Here is a 21,277-nt window from a genome sequence, read left to right as displayed (position 1 = left end):
TTTTACTGATGCCTATAGCATTCTGAGAAGGAACAGTGAGGGTATGAGTAATTTCATTAGTGTAAAGATGAGGAAAGTGAAACTCAGCATGGTGAAAGAACTCCACTGAGCCAGCCAGGGCCCAGGCTCAGGCGTAGCACTGATTCTCAACTAAGCTCTAAGACAATGAGCAAGACAGAAGAGGAAGAAAAAGGGAAAGCAGCAGGGGGAAAAACCCTCTCTCCTTACCTTATATTAAATGGAAGTAGGGTATTTCCAAATGAAAGCCTTGGCTACCTAGTCATCCTAAAAACAAGTGATTTCCAAAAAGACAACAATGAGATTTTTAATTGCTTCTAGATGTACAAGAACATAGTCCAGGGGAGAGTCAAGACAACAGCCAGCTGGTCGTGGTGGCTCACGCCTGAAATCCCAGCACTTTGGGAGGCCAAGGCAGGCAGATCACTTGAGTTCAGGAGTTCAAGACCAGTCTGGCCAACATGGTGAAACCCCACCTCTACTAAAAAAACACAAAAAACTTAGCTGGATGTGGTAGCCCACGCCTGTAATCCCGGCTACTAGGGAGGCTGAGGCACGAGAATCACTTGAACCCGGGAGGCGGAGGTTGCAGTGAGCCAAGATCACGCCACTGTACTCCAGCCTGAAAAAAAGAAACTCCATCTCCAAAAAAAAAAAAAAAAAAAAGACAACATAGCCAAAGAACCATAAGGAATATATGAAAAAGCTATGGGACAGCCAGACTACAGACTGCTATATGATCATATAGGCAACATTTAAAAGAAGATGCAATGACATGATAAAAATGCTTCTCCAAATGTTAAATGAAAAAAATTACACTAAGCTTAATATATAATGTAACTCTCATTTTTAAAAAAATGTGTATAAAAAAGATTGGAAGGAAATACATCAAAATGTGAATCATGATTCCAAGTAATTATTATTTTCTTTTTATTATGTTTTTACCCACAATATCTTGAAAAAAACACGTTACTACTTTTTAAAATTTTTTCTTTTCTTTCATAGCCTTAACTGAAGCTCAGTATTACTTTAACAATTGAAAAAACCCTAAGCTGAAGGGTTTTTTGTTTGTTTGCTTCCAAATTAAAGGAAAACTGAAATAAAAAATAGAAGATGTTACTTCTCAGTCCTGTCCCTGGGCCTTACTAATAACTACTTAGCTTACCAAGAGGATGATTCTGGGAGCTCTTGAGACCATGAAGAGGGATGGTCTGAGGTTCCTATGGTCTTTTAAACAATTAGTGCAAAGAATTCAAATTAATCTATAACTGGAAGTTTCATATTGAGTAAATGCTGGGAGAAGCTGGATGTAGACCCAAATGATTTGTAGAGAACAGAGAAAAAGGAAAAAAAAAAAAGAAAACAAAACAAAAAACCCCAAGGGCTGGGCTTAAAAGCAAAGAAAGGTAGGATCTAGTAGAAAAACTAAAAGACCAGAGAAAGTCCAGTATTGTAAGGAAAGAAGATGAAAATGAAAAAAAACTGAAGACGCCGTGTCAAAAGGAGGAAAACTTAAATTTTGTCCTCACTTTAAATAAAAATCATGCTCAGACAAGCAGGGAGGAATTCAAAGGAAAAGTCTTGACAAAGATAAATAGGGGAGTCAACAGAAGCCTGTCCTGCAACAAGGGAGGCTAAAGTCAAAGGTGCTACTCTCTCTCTGGACAAGCTGGGCAAGAAGCAGAATCAGAATAGCACAATGGAAATTCTGACCTGACAGAAGCACAGCAACGTATGACTGCAGAATGCATGAGTCATTAATTCCCTGCACAAGCACTGGTTCTTTAGCTTACCAATATGACTGCCACCTTCCTACATGCAAGGCAGCAGAGCATGATGATGTGAAGAGATCAGGGGAAGCCAACTGCCTAGGCTTGAATCCCATTTCTCCCATCAACCAGCTGTATAATCTTCAGTAAATTGCTTAAACCCTTTGCCCATGCTCTTATCTACAAATGGGGATGATAAAACCAGTACTCATCTCAAAGTGTCGTTGTGATGAGATTAAATAGGTTAATACATGTAAAACACCTAGCACAGTCCCTAGGCATGGTTAGCATTCATTTAGAATTATGCTTTTTTTAAAAAAATTATTGCTGTGATTCTTAATAATAACAAATTGACACCTAGTCAGCTTGCACACTATTCGTGTGTGTGGTTTCTCCCAAGACTAATACGTTTTTACAAACTACTATTTGCATGGTGCCTGATGAGCTGTATTAACAATCCTCTCCTTTTCTCAGAGAGGCATTTTTATTTTATTTATTTATTTATTTATTTATTTTTTGAGTCGGAGTTTTGCTCTGTCACCCATGCTGGAGTACAATGGCACAATCTTGGCTCACTGCAACCTCTGCCTCCCAGGTTCAAGCGATTCTCCTCCCTAAGCCTCCTGAGTAGCTGAGATTACAGGAATACACCACGACGCCTGGCTAATTTCTGTATTTTTAGTAGAGACAGGGTTTCAGCATGTTGGTCAGGCTGGTCTCAAACTCCTGACCTCAGGTGATCCACCTGCCTCCACCTCCCAAAGTGCTGGGATTACAGACATAAGCCACTGTGCCCAGCCTCAGAGAGGCATCTTATAGTCAAGTAAGAGAGGTACAGAGATGACAAAAAGTAGCTTGTCTAAAATTATCAACTGATACTAAAATTATCAGATGAATGACTGAACTGGCACCCAATATTTGTAGGCTGGCACCATGAATAACACCTTACAATCAGGTTTCTATCATGTGATTTAAAAAATGTAACTAGAAAATGGAAGGGTCAGACTATCACAGCCCTATTCTAGAGGGTGCCAATATTAGCATCACTATCGGTAGACTAACTAGATGTTATGTATTTCCTGCTCTGATGCTACATGAAGTACTAACATCACTTATTATGCATTCTAAGTCACTTGAATCCACTTGGACCTTTAGAACCAACTTCCAATTTACAGGAAATATGGGATACGGGCAGAAGCTTAACAACACAAGTAAACAACCAGACAAATCTAGAAGATGGGAGATTTTGCAGGACATCTGGCTTGGTCTCTTCAACAAATCAGTTTCATGGAAAGAAAATAATACTAGATTAAAGTACACTTAAGGGACATAAAACTGTGTGCATTAGATACTGGCTTGGACAAACTAGTTGTCAAAGAGATTTTTTGAGTAATTAATTAAATCTTTACATGGCCTGGGTATTAGATGAGACAAAAGTTTATTGAAATGTAAAGGAGAAAGTTCTTGACTAAAACAGTAGATTACAAAATAGTATGTACAATAAATCTGTTTTTTATATCATATTTTTGCTTTCTGTATTTTTAAATTTTCTATAACATATACATCTACTATAAAATTTAAAAGATTATTCAAAAGAATAGAGAAAAGGAAGGGAAGGAGGAAACAAGGAGAGGGAGAAGGAAAGAGGAAAAGGAAGAGAGAAAGGAGAGGGAAGAGAAGGCAGAGGGGAGAAGGAAGGGGGGGAGGGAGAGAGACAGAGGAGGGAGAGAAGGAGAGAGAGAGAGAAAGAGAGAGAAAAGGTTTTGAATTCACTATTCTTAAAGCCTGGCTTGTGACCAGGTTCAACCATACACTGGAAAGAATAACTTCCCATTATAATGTTCATAGCAGCATTATTTATAACATACATAATAGCCTCAAACTGAAAACTATCCAAATGCCATCAACAGTTGAACAGATAAAACTAAAAGTCTCATGTCCTAGGAACCCCCTCAGCCCAAGGCAAACAGGATAGTTGGTCATCTTAGGTGCTGCCCACTGTAAGGAAGATAGAATTTGGCATTCAAAGCCTGCCTAGTTAGAGGGGCTTGATAAACATCTTGGGTTTCCCATGGAAACCCCAGAAAGGCCATGCCTTAAGTATACAGTATTTTCTAAGACGAAGGGCAAAACCAAAATATACCCACTGTAATGAAGTATAAAGCCAAGCCCCCACAAGATCAAGGTGATCAACCAGTAATTTAATAGCCTCCTAGAATAAAACTTCATACTCTTCAGAGGAAGATAAGTACATCTAGAGTTTCTATGACATATTATCTATGATGTCCAATATGCAATAAAAGATTAGTAGGCATGTAAAAAAAAGTCAAGAGGAAAATCAATAAACAGACCCACAGATAATGTCAATGTTAAAAATAGCAAACAAGAATTTTTAAGTAATTGCCAACTATGTTTTAAAAATATACATACAATAATTGGGAGGCTGAAGGGGAAGGATCATTTGAGCCCCAGAGTTCAAGCCTAGCCTGGGAACCACAGCGAGACCCCATCTCTAAAAAAATTAGCCAAGCATGATGGTACACACCTGTAGTATCAGACACATGAGAAGCTGAGGTGGGAGGATCACTTGAGCCCAGGAGTCTGAGGGTACGGTGAGCTATGATCACACCACTGTACTCCAACCTGGGTGACAAAGTGAGTCTCCATCTCAAAAAAAAAAAAAAAAAAATCTGAAATAAAAAAAATTCATTGGATGGCATTTATAGCATCTTAGGTGAACAAAAGAAAGAATTGGTTGTTTTATTTATTTATTTATTTATTTATTTATTTATTTATTTATTTATTTTTTGAGATGGAGTCTTGCTCTGTCTCCCAGGCTGGAGTGCAGTGGCACAATCTCAGCTCACTGCAAACTCCACCTTCCGGGTTCAAGTGATTCTCCTGCCTCAGCCTCTTGCAAACTCCACCTTCCGGGTTCAAGTGATTCTCCTGCCTCGGCCTCCTGAGCAGCTGGGATTACAGGCACGTACCACCATGCCCAGCTAATTTTTGTATTTTTAGTAGAGACGGGGTTTCACCATGTTGGCCAGGCTGGTCTCAAACTCTTGACCTCAAGTGATCCACCCACCTTGGCCTCCCAAAGTGCTGGGATTACAGGTGTGAGCCACCATGCCCAGCCAAATTGGTAAACTTTAGAAATCATCTAAACTAAAGCATACAGAAAACAAAAATTTGAAAAAAATGGACAGAACATTAACAAGCTGTGGGACTGAATCAAGTAGTCTAACATACATGCAATTGATAACAAAGCAAAACAGGAAGGAGAGATGGGACAGAAAAAAATATTTGCCAAAAATTTTTCTCAAATTGAGGAAAAATTTGATATTTTTCCTACAATTTCTACAAATTAGATATTTGACAGATCAGGGATTGTCTGGATATTATATTTAACCAAGCCAAAGGAATACAATGAAAACCATGCTTACACTCTTATGATAATCAAAGAACTAAAAACCAAAGATAATGAATAAATATTGGAAGCAGCCAAATAAAGAAGGGCTGGGCATGGCAGCTCACGCCTGTAATCCCACCACTTTGGGAGGCCAAGACGGAAGGACTGGGATTGCTTGAGCACAGAAGTTTGAGTCTACAGTGAGCTGTAATCATGCAACAGGACTCCAGCCTGGGGGACAGAGACTCCATCTCTTTAAAACAAACAAACAAACAAACAAAAAGATGATATATTACATACAAGTAAGCAATAATAAGAACCTAAGAACCACAGCTGATTTCTCATCAGAAATAATGGAGGCCAGAAGGCAAGTGAATTACATATTCAAGTTGTTGAAAAAAATTATCTGATTCCATTTACACAAACAAATTTTTAAATGGGCAAATACTTATATTGTGTTAGAAGTCAGGATAATGGTTACCCTTCAGAGAGTAATGACTTGAAGTGGAGAGAAGGAGGGTTCATGGGATACTAGTAACATTCTTTCTTCATCTGGGTGCTGATTACATAGCTGTATTCAGTTTGTAAAAATTCATTGAGCTGTACACTTTATAATATGTGTACTTTCTCTAAGTATTTTATACTTTCATAAATAGTTTAGGAAAAAAACTTTGCAAAAATAGATGAAAGGTTCAGAGAAAATACACATCTAGGGCCTACTACAGTGGGAGGTATTCACAGTGTGAATTTTACGAAAGGTTACTATTATTACTTTGTCATCATCATCATCCCACAGAAAGTTTTGAGAGACCTAAATAAACCAAAAACCCCAAGCTCCCTTGGGAGGCAAATCTTACTCCTCAATTTGATTTTCAAGCTCTTTTAAGCACCTAGCAGCATAATGCTGTGCATGCAGTATTCACTAAAATACTTATTGACTGTATAATCTCCTAATTTAGGGTAGTATTCCAATACAAGGTTGCATATGGACACTTTTATTTTTTGTCTACTGCACCTCTCTTTCCCATATTCCATTTCCCATATTCCATTCCTCGTCTTCAGATTCCCTTAATAATCCTTTGATTTATACAAATCGAAGTACTATTATACTTTTGAAAGTTCTAAATATAGCACCTTGAGCTCTTTTAGAAAAGGCAGATACCTAAGAACTAAAACACCAAAAAGGCAAACACACAAACTAACCTAAGCAAAAGACTACAGACATCTTTGATGCACACATTCCCTTTGAGCTGCACCTTCCTAAGTCTAAATAAAAGCCTGGACCACCCAGAGAGCAGCCTCAAGGGAGAGCACACAGATGCTGCTGACCCAGTGTCACAGAAACCAAAGCTAAAACACCCCCAACAGCACGAGCTGCAAAGCTCCCCTCGGTGTTGGCTTTGGCAGCAAACCTGACGCCCCTTATCAGCAGAGATACCTTTGAAGTAGCTGGCAGCCTTCCATCCCCTACTCAAATAAGCTCAGCTTCACATTCTATTCTTTTCTCCAAAGAGGATCTTTTCATCAGATATGAGAGAATAAAGCTCAATTAATTAGAACAGATTTTTGCTACCAACAAGATAAACTGGGCAACTGGAACAGCTGTCTGTAAAGCACTGTGCAAACGCTGTTAGTGACCATGCTATAATGTGGAGGAAATTCAGTCCAATCACAGATACTGAGTTCAGACGAGCAGGAGGGATATGGTAGACGGGGAAGGGAGGGAGGGTTAAATCACTCATCTACTCCTTCTCCCAAAGAGTTAAACCCTTTCTTAAGGGGGCAGAGCACAGGGACACAACCTTTGGAAAACCATTCTTTTCCTCCATTCATTCAATCCACAGCACTTACCAGGGACATTCAACTATACCAGCATTGTGGGTCACCACTTCTCCTCTTCTTATTTATGACCATCACACCACCCAAAATGCCTTCTCACAGTTTCATCATCCACTCTTCTCACACATGCCAAACAGCTGGACTCAAGACACGCCATAGGAAATCCTATCTCAGTCCAAACGGATACCAAACAGATAGGTAACATGCACTGCTTTTAGTTTTAAATCTCATTTATCCTTTTTAACTACCAGATTCATTTCCTTAGTGCCAAAAGAAATCTGACTGTTGTGGCAATTCTCTTGTGACTGATTCACTAATGGCAAAAGGACATGTTTAACATCTCCAAGACCCTGGAGAAAAGTATTAACTGAGTCTCTTACATTCCTTCCTCAGCACTCTTCTTGCATTCCCCACTTCCTGCAGTGTGAAGGAAGCCAGATTCACCCTTTGTCACCAGATTTATTTATCTGAAGCTAACTTCACCCTTCATCACCCTCCAAGAATAAAGTAGGAAACCACAATGGGTTGCCTAGAGAAACTAGCCTAGATGCTTTAACACTGTCTGTTGCAGAGGCAAACATGGCTCACATACAGATAGACAGGATCTTAGGGCATCAGATATTCTCTGTGCTCTGCAGTTTCCCCAAGATGGAAAACAGTGCAGCAGTGATTCTCAGCCCTAGCTGTAGGCAACAATCACCCAGGCCCTACTCCAGAGATTCTGACTAAATCATGCTGGGGTAGGGTCTTGGCATGGGTATTTTTTAAATTAGATCAACTTTATTGAGGCATAATTTACATAATAAAATGTACACATTTTAAGTGTATAATATGATAAAGTCTGTCTAATGTACCACCATGGTCAAGATTATGTAACATTATAAAAATGTTATAAAGCATTGTTTAAAATGTTATATAATGTAGGCTATAAAAACCCTACAAACTCCCTTGTGTCCCTTAGCAGTCAATCCTTCATCCCCATCCTGGCCCCAAGGCAATCAATATCTATTCTCTATCACTATAGATCAGATTTGTTTTTTCTAAAATTTTATAGAAACAGAATCATACAGAATGTACTCATTGTGCTTGGCTTCTTTTTATCAACATAATGTTTTTTGAGCTCATTTATATTGTATCAGCATTTCCCTTCTTATTGCTGAGTAGTATTGATATATGGATACACTACAATATGTTTTTCCACTCATCTGTTGATGGACATTTGGGTTGTTTCCAGTTTGGGCTATTATGAATAAAGTACCTAAGGCAGCTGTAACAAATTACTGCAAACATGGTGGCTTAAAACAACATACATTTGTTCTCTTAGAGTTCTGGAGGTCAGAACTCCAAAACCAATTTCACTGGGCTGAAACCAGTGAGTCAGCAGGGCTGCTTCTGCTCCGGAGGCTCTCAGGAAGAATCCGTTTCCTTGCCTTTTCCAGCATCTAGAGCTGTATTCACTGGCTCATGGCCACTTCCTCCATATTCAAAGCCAGTGGCATAGCATCCTCTCTCTATGACTCTGTTTCCCTCTGCTTCTATCACATGACCTTCCTCTCTTTTATCTGTAATCTCCTTCTTATGAGGACACTTGTGATTGCATTTACAGCCCACCCAGCTAATTAAGCATAATATCCCCATCACAAGATCCTTAAATTAGTCATATCTGCAAAGTATTACATGCATAAGGTAACATTCACAGGTTCCAAAGGTTAGAATATGGACCTCTTTTTTTTTTTTTTTTTTTTTTTTTTTTTGAGGGAGGCATTACTCAGCCTATCACAAAAGCTTTATGAATATTCAGGTGCAAGTCTTTGTTTAGACATATGCTTTTATTTCTCTTGGGTAGATGCCTATAAATACCTGGAATTACTGGGTCATATGACAAGTACAAATTTAATGTCATAAGAAACTGCCACTATTTTCCAAAGTGGTTGTACCACTTTCACACTCTCACTAGCAACATATGAGGGTTCTGGCCAACTTCCTTAACACTTGGTATTGCCAGATGTTTTAATTTTAACCATCCTAGTGAATGTATGGTATATCTTCTTACAGTTTTAACTTGCGTTTCCATCACGAGTGATGATATTGAGCATATTTTCATGTGTTGATTAGCCATTTGTATATTTTTATTAGTGAAATGTTTATTAAAACCTGTTTCCATTTTTAAAAATTTGGGTAGTTTGTCTTATTACTGAGTTCTCAGAGTTCTTTATTCTATAATCTGATATAAGTCCATGTCAGATACATATTACAAATATTTTCTCCCAGTCTGCGTCTTGTCTTTCATTTTGTAAATAAAGTCTTTCTAGGAACAAAAGTCCAAGACTTGATGAAGTCTGACTTATCCTTTATAAAATTTTATGGTTCATGCTTTTTATATTCTAAGAAACCTTTGTTTATTCAAGGTCACAAAGATTTTTTTAAAACTCCCCAAGTAACTTTCATGCCCAGGCAAAGTTGAAAGCTACTGGTCTATAGGGAATCTGACTTGGCTTTTTCAATTTAACCTAAATTTTTGCCATAGAAACTTAAGAGTCCTAACAGCAAAGCAGGAGTACAGTTCACTGCAGTGCTGTAAAAACAAGGATGCAACTGAGCCTTAGCACTGTCTGAACTGACCAGCTTCCAAGCTTAAGTGTGAGCAGCTGTGAAGGGCTAGAAACAGTGATTTGAGAAAGCAAAGTCAGAGGTACTTTTAGTGTGTTCCAGCTAAGTAAAAAGAGAAAACAGGATTATCCTCTCTCCTGTAGGAAAAAGCACACCCAAGTTTATTTCAGTTTAAACTAAGCAAGTGGGAAAAATTATTTCTGTTCTTGGTGGGCTTCTTTAGAACATGCCCCTCATGGAGACCACAGGGAGATGGGAGTCAAACTTGGCAGTTTTTGCCCATGGTTTTTGAAGCCACCGCATTAAACAAATGAAGGTGGCAGCAATAATATTTGCCCAAACCCTGGTTCCAACAGAGGTTAGACAGACTGAGCTTTCATTACATGAAAGGAGATGTCAGGAGCACCAAACGGGCTCAATTTTCCCTCTTGTCCTAGACAAAGTCAGACTGTTTTTAAGCTGTGAACAGGAGGCTACTTTCTTCAGATGTTATATTTAGCTAAAGGAATCTCCAACATGGCTTCATGCAAAATGTAAAATATGTCCCAGCAGACATTACCACAAACCAGAGGGCTAGCAAGGAGCCTCCCTTAAGGGGGTTCAATAGCATAGAGGGGCCAATTGTGCAGCCACCCTGACATCCCTAAATTAGCTAAATTAGCTGTGAGCCAGATTTGGGGCCAATTCTCACATTTAATGAGTCCTTGTTTCCCTCTTACAGGGGGCAGAGATATTTTGCCCCTGAGGAGTGTAAACATGCTGCCCTATTTCATTCCCAACTTCCAGCTGCTTGCCCCAACCCCAGGTAGGAAAAACAATCCAATGTTGATGTTCAACATCTCCATACCCTTTGAAGGTTTATGTGCAAAAGAAAAATTAGGTTAATTCTATAACTAAGTGAAATATCTGAATTCAATGAAACAGAGAAAATCCAGGATTTTCTCTTCTCTGTACAACATACTTAGAGAATCCTAATACAGTATGTAGATGAAAACGTTGGATTCTAGAGCCAAGTGACTGGAGTTAAACGTTAGCTTCATTTCATTTTTCTTAATCTCTCTCTCTCTTCTTTTTTTCTGAGACGAAGTCTTGCTCTGTTGCCTAGACTGAAGTGCAACAGCATGATCTCTGCTCACTGCAACCTCCACTTCCCGGGTTCAAGAGATTCTCCTGCTTCAATCTCTTGAGTAGCTGGGATTACAGGCACTGGCCATCTTGCCTGGCTAATTTTTGTGTTTTTGTAGAGACGGGGTTTCACCATGTTGGCCAAGCTGGTCTTGAACTCCTGACCTCAGGTGATCTGCCCACCTTGGCCTCCCAAAGCGCTGCGATTACAGGCATGAGTCACCACTCCCAGCCCTCTGTTTTGTTTTTTGTTTTTTGTTTTTTTTTTTTTTTTAAACAGACAGGGTCTGGCTCTGTTACTCAAGCTAGAGTACAGTGGCATGATTATAGATCACTGCAGCCTCAAATTTCTGGGCTCAAGTGATCCTTCCCGTCTCAGCCTCCTGGGTAGCTAGGCCTACAGGTGTGTACCACCATGCCTAGCTAATTTTTTTTAAGTGGGGGAGGGAGGTAGAGACAGAGTCTTGCTATGTTGCCCAGGCTGGTCTTGAACTCCTTGCTTCAAGCGATCCTCCCACCTCAACCTCCCAAAGGGCTGGGATTACAGGCTTGAGCCACTGTGCCTGGCCTGCTTAATCTCTTTAAGCCATAGTTTCTTCCTTCATAAAACAGCGATGATGACAATAGTAACTACTTTATAAAATTACGGTAAGGATTAAAGGAGATAATACATATAAAGTGCTTAACATGATACCTGGCACATAGAGGTTCAAAATATAATGACTTCTATTATCATAATTTTTGCAGTGAATCATTAAGTTTTATAGATTAAAAAAAGATTTTTAAAAATGTTGACTTTTGCTAGTGACAAACAGACCCAAATTCACATAAAGCACAGGTGTGTACAGCCATACCACAAATTAAGGTATCTTTTCTAAGCCTATGTCCCCAGAGAAATGGGTCCTTTTGCCACTGGAACCAAATTTACTGGTAAAACATATCTATTTTATGTATTTGGATCCCAATTTGGTATTTCTTCATTGCTGACATTGTAGATATCAGCACCTGAAATAATCCTTCATTCTTCAAGAAATCTGGTCTTCATTTGCTTAAGCTAGCCCTCTCCACACCTATATCCACTTTTGTTTGTCCTTATCTGTGGGATTAAAATTTACCTATCACAATTTAACAAAGGTAACCTAACAACCAGAAGGAAGCCCCCAGTGTAGGATCCCCTTATCGTCACAGAACTGTGGTATCCTGAATTTGGAAGGCACCATGGAGATCACATAGACCACACTCTTTTTTTAAAGTTTAGGGAACTGAGGCACAGAAAGAAGTCATTGTCCAAGGTCTCAGAGTTAAGAGCAGAACTAGGCCCAAGAGAAAGGGTCACTTGGAAAAGGCATCTCCTCTGATAGCACAAAGCAAATCCCCGGGAAGATTCATGTAACTACAGAATGGCTGAGGACATTCCTTAGGACTCTTATCTGATACTATATCTTAACCAGTAGGATTCTAATTCATGTGCAAGGACACTCTAAACAAAAGAGGTTAAAAAACTGGGGTGTGGTATGAAGAATGTTTGTTTGCCCATTACTAGAAAGCAGAGAGGCTCTTTACCCAGCCAAAAGAGAATGAATCAATTTTTTTTTTTTAGGAGTCAGGGTCTCTCTCTGTTGCCCAGGCTGGAGTGCAGTGGCATGATTACAGCTCACTGCATCCTCAAACCATCAGGGTCTCTCTCTGTTGCCCAGGCTGGAGTGCAGTGGCATGATTACAGCTCACTGCATCCTCAAACTATCAGGGTCTCGTTCTGTTGCCCAGGCTGGAGAGCAGTGGCATGATCACGGCTCACTGCATCCTCAAACACCTGGGCTCATGCAATACTCCCACCTCAGCATCCCAAGTAGCTGTGGCTACAGGCACAGGCCACCATGCTCAGCTAACTTTTAAAATTTTTTTAGAGACAAGGTCTTGTTATGTTGCCCAGGTTGTTCTTGAACTTCTGGCCTCAAGCATTTTCCCACCTTGACCTCCTGAGTTGTTGGGATTACAGGAATGATCCATGGTGCTTGGCTCAATCTATTTTTATGATCTGCCAACCAGCTCCTAATTTAAGAGTTTTCTGCCTACATGGGAATGCCCCAAGGGAGGGAGAAAAGAGATTACTCACCCTGTGGGATAGTAATCATTGGCCATTCAACAACCCTGGGCATGTCTCTAATCAACTACAATTTAATTGATCCAAAGTTACAAAGATCAAGAGAAATTCCTATGATCTGCAACTATACACAACAGTATGAATAAATCTCACAAACATAATATTGAAAGAAACCAAACAAAAAAGAGTACATACTGTGCAATTCTACTTATATAAAGTATGAAACCAAGCAAAGCTAATCTCTGCTGTTAAAAGTCAAGACAGTTGTTATCCTGGGGGATTTAGGGTGGGGAGATGACTAGAAGGGAATATGAGGGGGTTTCTAGGGTACAGAAATGTTCTGTTTCTTGATCTGGGTGCTGGTTACACAAGTGTGAATTCAGTTTGTGAAAATGCATATAGCTATTAAATTATAATAGGCATACTTTTCTTCAGTGAAATGTAATATATAAACAGTCCTATGAGAAATAAGTTCTTCCTCACGCTCTAGCATAGTAATACACGGCTTAAGGAAGTCAACCCTGAGCCCATGGCTAGGAATATCATTCACAGACGAATTTTCTTCATGAATGTCATATGCCCCACACCTTGTATACATGCCATGTACCTACCTTTGGTGAAATATGCATAGGGCACTTGAAGAGCCAGGAACACTCGTGACTTTGCTATCTGGCTGCCTTCAGTATAAGCATCTCTGAGATCTGGAGAGGCTATTAAATTATCTAGCCTGGTTTTTCTCTAACCTTCTAAGGCTTGGTAAAAAGGGAGCTGAGAGACTGGGTGAAGTCTAGCTAGGTGAACAGATCTTATAAAAGTTGTTTTCTCAGATGAACAAAGAAAACGGAGGAGGAAACTATCAGTCAAGCCCTTTCCTTCTTGAGATAGTCTAAGTGGCTGTCAAGGTCATAGAGACGAGCTGTCAAAATTTCACCTAAATAGGTTTTAATTTTAGTCACACACATGCATCACCAAGTATTGCAGAATAATTCAAATTAATGACAACCAAGCTGAAGCTGATGCTGGAAACCATGGAGGAGATGGTGAGAAGTACCCTCACTCCAAAATGAGGTGTGGCCCCAACCACAGCACAGCCGGGCTACTAATAATAGCCAGTGAGCTCTGGGAGGAGTTATCTTTCTCTGCCTTCTTTTCGTCGTCAGATGATTGTACCCTCAATATTCTGTCTCTAAGACACAGGGAAAGCACCTTCACGGATGCAATTAGGTAGATGGAAGATTCCAAATCAGTTATTTGATCAGGCTGGTAATTACAGAAAAAAAATGGGGTATTAATTCCAGATCTAGTGAAATCTGGAAAAATTCCTGAGAACTGGAAAGCTGATGAAGAGCTTTGACTGTATCGACTACAGTCCTGTTTACCAGTCTTTTCTCTCATACTTTCAAATTTTAATAATGGATTTTGTCACCTGGAAACTGATGAATTCTAAATAGCCCTCTATAATCTTTTTCTACCTATAACTTTTAGGAAGATTATTTGCCTTCTGGAAAGTCTTCCGGGGATGTCAATGCTTGAATGGTAGACATGGCATATCATATACAATGGTTGGGGCCTTCACCGCTGTCTGTAACCCAACCTCATGAATAAATGATTCCACTTTGAGCTCAAGCTGAGACAGCTTAGAAAAGAGCTTCCTGGATTTTCAAGAGGCTAGTTCCATCGTTGACAGGTAAGGTGAATTGGCTCCTTAAGATTATCATGATTATTTTGAGTTTTCCTTTGTCAAATTGTTCAACCTATACCCAAGGAAGTACGATAACAATTGAGTTTCGAAAGCATTCAGAGACCCAAAGACAAAGACATACCACGATAAGAATAACCACACTTTTGAGTCTACCTTGGCCAAGATAAGACCCTGGGAAGAAAACTAAACTAAAAACATAAACGTATATGAGTTTGCTAAATGAACTAGAATAGGAAAACATAAAATGACAGTGTTGGCCCCTTAAGCTCAACAGCTTCACAAATCACTTTAAGAAAACTTCCCAAAACACAGTTTTTGTTAATAGATGCAGATTATGAATTATAGTACCAGCCCTGGGTTTATACCTTGCAAATGGTTCCTTTCCCAAGGCTACTATTAATTCAGCTCAGAAAGGAAGAAAGGAATGCCAATTCAAATATTTTTTTTCTCCACAAGTATGTGGTAGGGAATGACTAGTGGAAAGCCTATGAAGTGGGCCAATAAGATATTCTTTCTTTTATTTTTTCTTTCCAACTTTTATTTTAGGTTCAAGGGGGGTATATGTGCAAGTTTGTTACATGGGTAAATTGCATGTCATGGGGGTCTGGTGTACAGATAATTTTGTCACCCAGGTAATCAACATAATATCTAATAGGATTTTAAAAATTGTGTCATTGCTCCACCCAAGAACCTCTGTGACTAGAAATATCTCTGTACCTTTTTAAAGAGTCTTCCTGAGTCCTCGCTGACTTGTACAAATCGAGGAATGATATTATTCAGGTAGATGTCACTCAGGGTGGTATGGTCCCTGCTTTCCCACTTCACCTGGTTTAAGAGGAGATTCCAGCAGTTGACTGGAGAGAGAACATTCTGATCCTTCCTGTGAAGAAACATCAAGGAAAAGAAGTCATTGTTGATACACAGCCAGGGCAACATCTACAACTATAGTCCGTGTCCTAAAATCACAGCAATCAAAGCCAATCCAGAAATAAAGATATTTTTCCTGAAGCTCACCTCTCTAGTTTTCTCCTTTTCTAAAAACTCAGTGGAGAAAAAAGGAGAAAATAAGGACAAGAAGGAGAGGGAGGGAAGAGGGGATGTACAAGGAGAAACAGGATTATCTGTTAGGCACCTACTATGTTCTAAGAACTTGGTGAATGCTTTATACGTATTATCTCATCTCATCTAAGCTCTATCATTTCATTTTAAGGAAAGAACTACCATTATCCCCCTTCAACTGATTAGAAAACTGAAGCTCAGAGAGGTTGTCACTTGTCTACAGCGAGTAAGACTAACACAACAAGTAAGAGGGCACCAGGGACTAGAACAACAGTTCTGCATTGTCTGGCTAGACCAGGTCTAAGGTGATTCTGAAGTCCATCATTTTAGCCACTAAGTCATTTGGTTTGTCTCTAGGGTTAGAAACCAAAGTTAGAGATTTTGTCTAGACACAAAAATCACTACAGCACTACAAAATCCCCACAAATGTATCCATTGTAGGATTTAATAAAGGCAAATTTGGAGACATATGCCATTAAAATGTTACTGAAAACTCTGGAGTTCCACAGAACACATCTAAGGAAGTTTTGATTTCATTTATTGAGCCATGATCTCATGTCCCATACAATCAAGAACACAAACCATACCTGAACATGTGTTCCTAAAATGTCTACAGCTTGAGTGGAGCAGTAAAGTGCTAAACCAAGGTGCTCATTCCCTTTTTTTTTTTTTTTTTTTTTTTTGAGACAAAGTCTCACTCTGTCACCCAGGCTGGAGTACAGTGGCACAATCTTGGCTCACTGCAACCTCCGCCTCCCGCTTTCAAGAGATTCTCCTGCCTCAGCCTCCCTAGTAGCTGGGATTATAGGCACCTGCCACCACGCCCAGCTAACTTTTGTATTTTTAGTAGAGATGGGTTTTCACCATGTTGACCATGCTGATCTTGAACTCCCGACCTCATGTGATCCACCCACCTTGGCCTCCCAAAGTGCTGGGATTATAGGAGTGAGCCACTGCGCCCGGCCCTAGATGCTCATTTCTAATGAAAACATTGTGATCCAAAAGAATTATTGATTACCAACTCAGCATTAACTTAAGCAACAGAAAGTTCTACATTTGGAAGTTGGATTTCTTTAAGGAGAGAAACAAAAGTAGGAATAATTTGCAGTACTATTTATCAAGGGATACTGTACACATATCTGGGCCCTTTATACATGTTGTTTGACTTAAACCCCACAACTACCTGATGAGGTGGGTGTTATTAACCACATTTGGCAGATGAGGAAAAGTAGACTAAAAATTTTTAAACACTTTGCCCAAGGTCATATAGCTAAAAAGTGGCAATTCCAGAATTCAAACCAAGCCTATAACTGCAAAGCGAGTACTCTCATTCACTGCAAATAATAACTATCTGTTTCTTTCCCCCTTTCCTCTCTTCCCCGCTCCAGTCAGACTCCTACTACAAAGAAAGTGAGTTGAGAGTAGCTTGGTTATTGGGTCAGTACTGCCTCCATTCAGCACTAAAGGCCAGGCACTTGTGATTTGTAAACCATGAAGTTCAACTTAGAAGGCTTTTCCAATTCTATAGTAGTAACTATTAACAAATAATCATGCCATACTTACTTGGACTTCAGAACACATCAGACAAATCAAATATCTGTCTAACCCAACCAAGAAGTTACTTCAAACCAATTAATATTAGAGTCCAAATTGAAACTGTTCTAAACCTGTATCCGGGTACCACTCACCCCCTGCCCCAGGCATCACTCTTCTGTAGCCAAAATCACTAACTCTTAAGCGTGCCAATCACTGTGACAACACTTACCTTTTTAGGGAAACTGAAAGATTTCTATGGAAATCAAAAATATACCAGCTGAGAGGAAGAGAGACACATAATTAATTTACTCCTTTCAAAATGTTTAGTATCTGGGGAAAAAAAAGTGAACTGGAAACAATCCTAAATTCAAAATGGTAAGATATTTGAACACATGCATTCCATAGCATCTGATGTTTCCATTGCAAGAAAACTTTCAAAATGATTCCAATTAGATTTCAGTTACAAAATTCTAAATAACCTAATTTACATTTTAATCAAGTGGTGTCTCTCGGCAAGATACCCATGTCCTCAGTAAGCATGCTTTTTAAAGGGGCAGATCTCATGAGACTTTACATTGACAATTGGTTTCAATCTATTTCTTAAGGAAGAAGATGGATTGGGGGGGTCTATACTGGTTCTTTCCCTATAGCACTTTACATACACACAAATAATGCCACAATTCAATTCCACAAATGTACACACATTTGTATCTTAAATGAACAAGGCATGGTGTTAGGTGCTTTAGTGGTTATAAAAGTGCAAATGCTGCAATATAGTAAGGGAGACAAAGAAAGACCTATAGTAAAGTAGAACTTTAATGGTGGTACAAACAAAAGGCCAGCTAGCTCAGAAAGGTAGACCTCAGATCAAAAGAGGAAGCAGAGGAGGCAAAATCAACCTAACACCATGGGAAAGGATGCAGAGCACATATCCCCAGGGTGTCCTCAAAAGAAAAGATGACTGAACAAAGATGGGTCAATAAACAGGATGGCTGGAAGTAGAAATCTTTTAAAATAAAATGCCTTATCACTTAATGCTAATAAGTTTTATTGAGAACTTGTAAGGTGTGGCTCACGCCTGCAATCCCAGCACTTTGGGAGGCCAAGGCAGGTGGATCACTTGAGACCAAGAGTTCAAGACCAGCCTGGCCAGCATGGCAAAACCCCATCTCTACTAAAAATACAAAATTACCTCAGTGTGGATGGTGCACACCTGTAATCCCAGCTACTTGGGAGGCTGAGGCAGGAGAATCACTTGAACCCCGGAGGCAGAGGTTGCAGTGAGCTGAGATCATGCCACTGCACTCCAGCCTGGGTGAGAGCAAGACTCCATCTCAAAACAAAAGAAAAAAAAGAAAAAAGAACTTGCAAGGTGCTATAAGTACTTTTCACATGTATTTATTTCCATCCTTACAGCATTTTGTGCGATAGTTACAGTATTAGTATTGGTTTCAGAGAGCAGGAGCTTTTAAACTGTGTTCTGAGATACTCTGGAATTAGCAGAAAATCACATTTCAATTTAAAAAACGGTGACACATCCATTCAAATGAGCAACCCTCACTGACATGAGCAAGAGACCCAGGACCCAGTTTCCCTGCGTTAGATACCACTGCAATGTCTTGCAGGCTGCTAGCATTGTTTTATGTAAACCCTGGAAGAAAGAATCACTGTATGCCTTGGAACTTCTGAACAATATGCTATTAATTAGAATACATGTAGCTTTGCATAGGTTTATTTTTTCATTCACGCCTGTGTGTGCCTCCTCCAATAAAGCTGTACAGGTGAGCCTATAACTTGACACACAGCAGCAAGGTTCAATCACATGCCATAGAAGGCTCAAGGGCCTAGGCTGGGTTTATGTTAGACCGTGGTTGGGTAGCGAAAATCAACATGCTTAATATCATACCATCTCATCATCAGTTGTTGCGATGCCTATTATACATGTTGGGGCTTATCCAATTAATATTTATGAAGGGGAATAGCTGCTAGGTGATGATAGTGACTCAACTTTAAAACAAAAGTATCTTCTTTTTTCCATCTAAATCAATTTAAAGCTCAAGATTACAATAACTTATCTATGCTAATCAGAATTTTCTTGATATTGGACTACCTAAACCAAAACCAGATGCTGAAATGAATATAAAACTATAACTGATTCATAATCCTGATCTCAATATTTTTAGTTCATAAAAACAGCCTCATTGTTCTCATTGACTGACAGTATAATAAGTACTCTATAAATTTGTACTTTAAAAGCAGATTTATACCAATAAAAATACTGCTTTGATCTGTTTCATATATTGAGGCTCTATGCAAGATTTTTATTTTAAAAAAGGAGTCTATGCTTAAAAAACCAGCACTAGATCCTGTTGGCTGTTTCTTCCAGGAGTTCTCAGCCTCTCCTACTATTAATGCAGCTTTTCACACAATATTTCTGGTCCTTTGAGTCTGTAAGCTTTCTCAGACATATTCTTCCTTTCAACTGAGGTGTTTCAATTAATTCATTTATTTATTTTTGGGTAGTGGTAGAGCAAGTAAGGTAGAGAGAAAGTGGGAGGAGGGGATCACAAATATACAGACAATTTTCCCAGCCAACACGAACAAAGATGAAACCCACTTCAGGCTGGAAAATAAGCACGGCAACGAGACGTGATTTCATAGGGAGCATATTAAGGCTCTGCTAGAGTGGTTTCCTGCTCCAGAAGCTTTGCAGCCTCATTTTATTTGGGACCGCTGAAGCCAAGGGAACTTCGTTTGGTTAGGAGATTGAAATTTGTCTTTATATCTTTTCCATCTATCATTTGTTTGCACAGTCTCTTTACTTTCCCCACCCCCAGAGCCTTAGGTTGTATAATACTTGGGCCTTTAAAGGAAAGGGTCTGCATCCCTTAGGAATGTGCTGAGCAGCTGCAAACCTCCTCAAACACTAATCCCTAAAAAGCAGACAAAATACCTAGGAGTATTTTTCTTACTTAAAATGTTTTTCAGGAGGAAGATCAAGAAAACATCATACTGTACTTGAGAGGGAATGACTCTGGAGTCGAAAGGAGACCCGGAAAGTCACATGCTGCCTGTACATCTGCAGAAGACATTATCACTGTAAATGCACTGAAAGAGATAAACCTGCATAGCTGAATCATTAGCTTCGAAGACATTAGCCCAGCTTTTCTCCCTCAACTTGGACTATTTATGGACGTTCAACAAACTTAGCAACAAGCGCTTAAAGGGATTTCTCTAAAATATCCATGGTGAAGAGCCAAGTCCATAAAGGTCCAAGTTGGCCTCTCTATTATGGTTCTTTTCCATATCACCTCTGTTTGGTTTTTATCATCTCATCTATAAAATGGACACGTGCCCTATTGGTATACATCTCACTCCTCAAAGATCTTCAAAGTATGGCTGTAAAATCCTAGACGCTCTCCTGACCTAAGGTGCCATTTAATTAATAATTGCTACATTCATGGCTGTGCAGATGGAATGCATGGCATGAGGCTGGCATTGCTGGAATATAGCTTGAGCTTCTGCATTGCTATAACGAGGTGTGTTTCCTTTTGGGCCAATAGTCTCTAAGTTGCTCACCTCTCAGGGCTGTTGTGTGGATCAAATGAAATGATGGATGCAAAAGAACTATGCCAATAGTTCAGCACTATACAAATGTGAAGAAATATTATTATTTTTATTTCCAAACAAACTAGGACTCAGCTTTCATCAATTTCCAACATGCTTCTCACCCGGCTCTGGGCCAGGGCCAAGATTGCTGCCTGCTGAAAATGCACAGCCTTCAGCAAATAATGGTTTGAGTAAGACAGCAGCAACAGGCAATTAACAAAGCAGCCATAAGGCTCTGGGAAGACGTGAGAGAGATACCAACAGGAGAGCAGATTTTAATCTCCCACTGTCCTTTCCCTAAGGGACAAGGTAGAACAATCAGTCCTGCATTCCACACTGGGAACTGTGTGCTGAGGTTGACAGAAAGGAATCCAAAGGGAGCACAGATTGCCCAAACCCTAGATGCTTCAGCAACTTATACTAAGCTCCCATCCCCTGTCTCAGAATTCCTATCAAACCTGCCAATCTGCATAGCGAGATGGCAACTATCAATA

General features: G+C 39.6%; 1 protein-coding gene across 2 annotated transcripts in view; it reads right to left on the bottom strand.

Annotated features, from left to right (window-relative positions):
* SRGAP2C (SLIT-ROBO Rho GTPase activating protein 2C) overlaps positions 1-21,277 on the bottom strand; it is a 207,900-nt gene that overhangs the window by 52,938 nt on the left and 133,685 nt on the right. For both annotated transcript variants that reach the window (NM_001329984.2, NM_001271872.3), the window contains exon 4: positions 15,297-15,459. In NM_001329984.2, coding sequence (NP_001316913.1) covers positions 15,297-15,459 — 163 coding nt within the window. The remainder of the gene's footprint in view (positions 1-15,296; positions 15,460-21,277) is intronic.

The sequence above is a fragment of the Homo sapiens genome, chromosome 1 (genome assembly GCF_000001405.40).
Source record: "Homo sapiens chromosome 1, GRCh38.p14 Primary Assembly".
NCBI lineage: Eukaryota > Metazoa > Chordata > Mammalia > Primates > Hominidae > Homo > Homo sapiens.
This window is presented reverse-complemented; position numbering and strand designations above follow the sequence as displayed.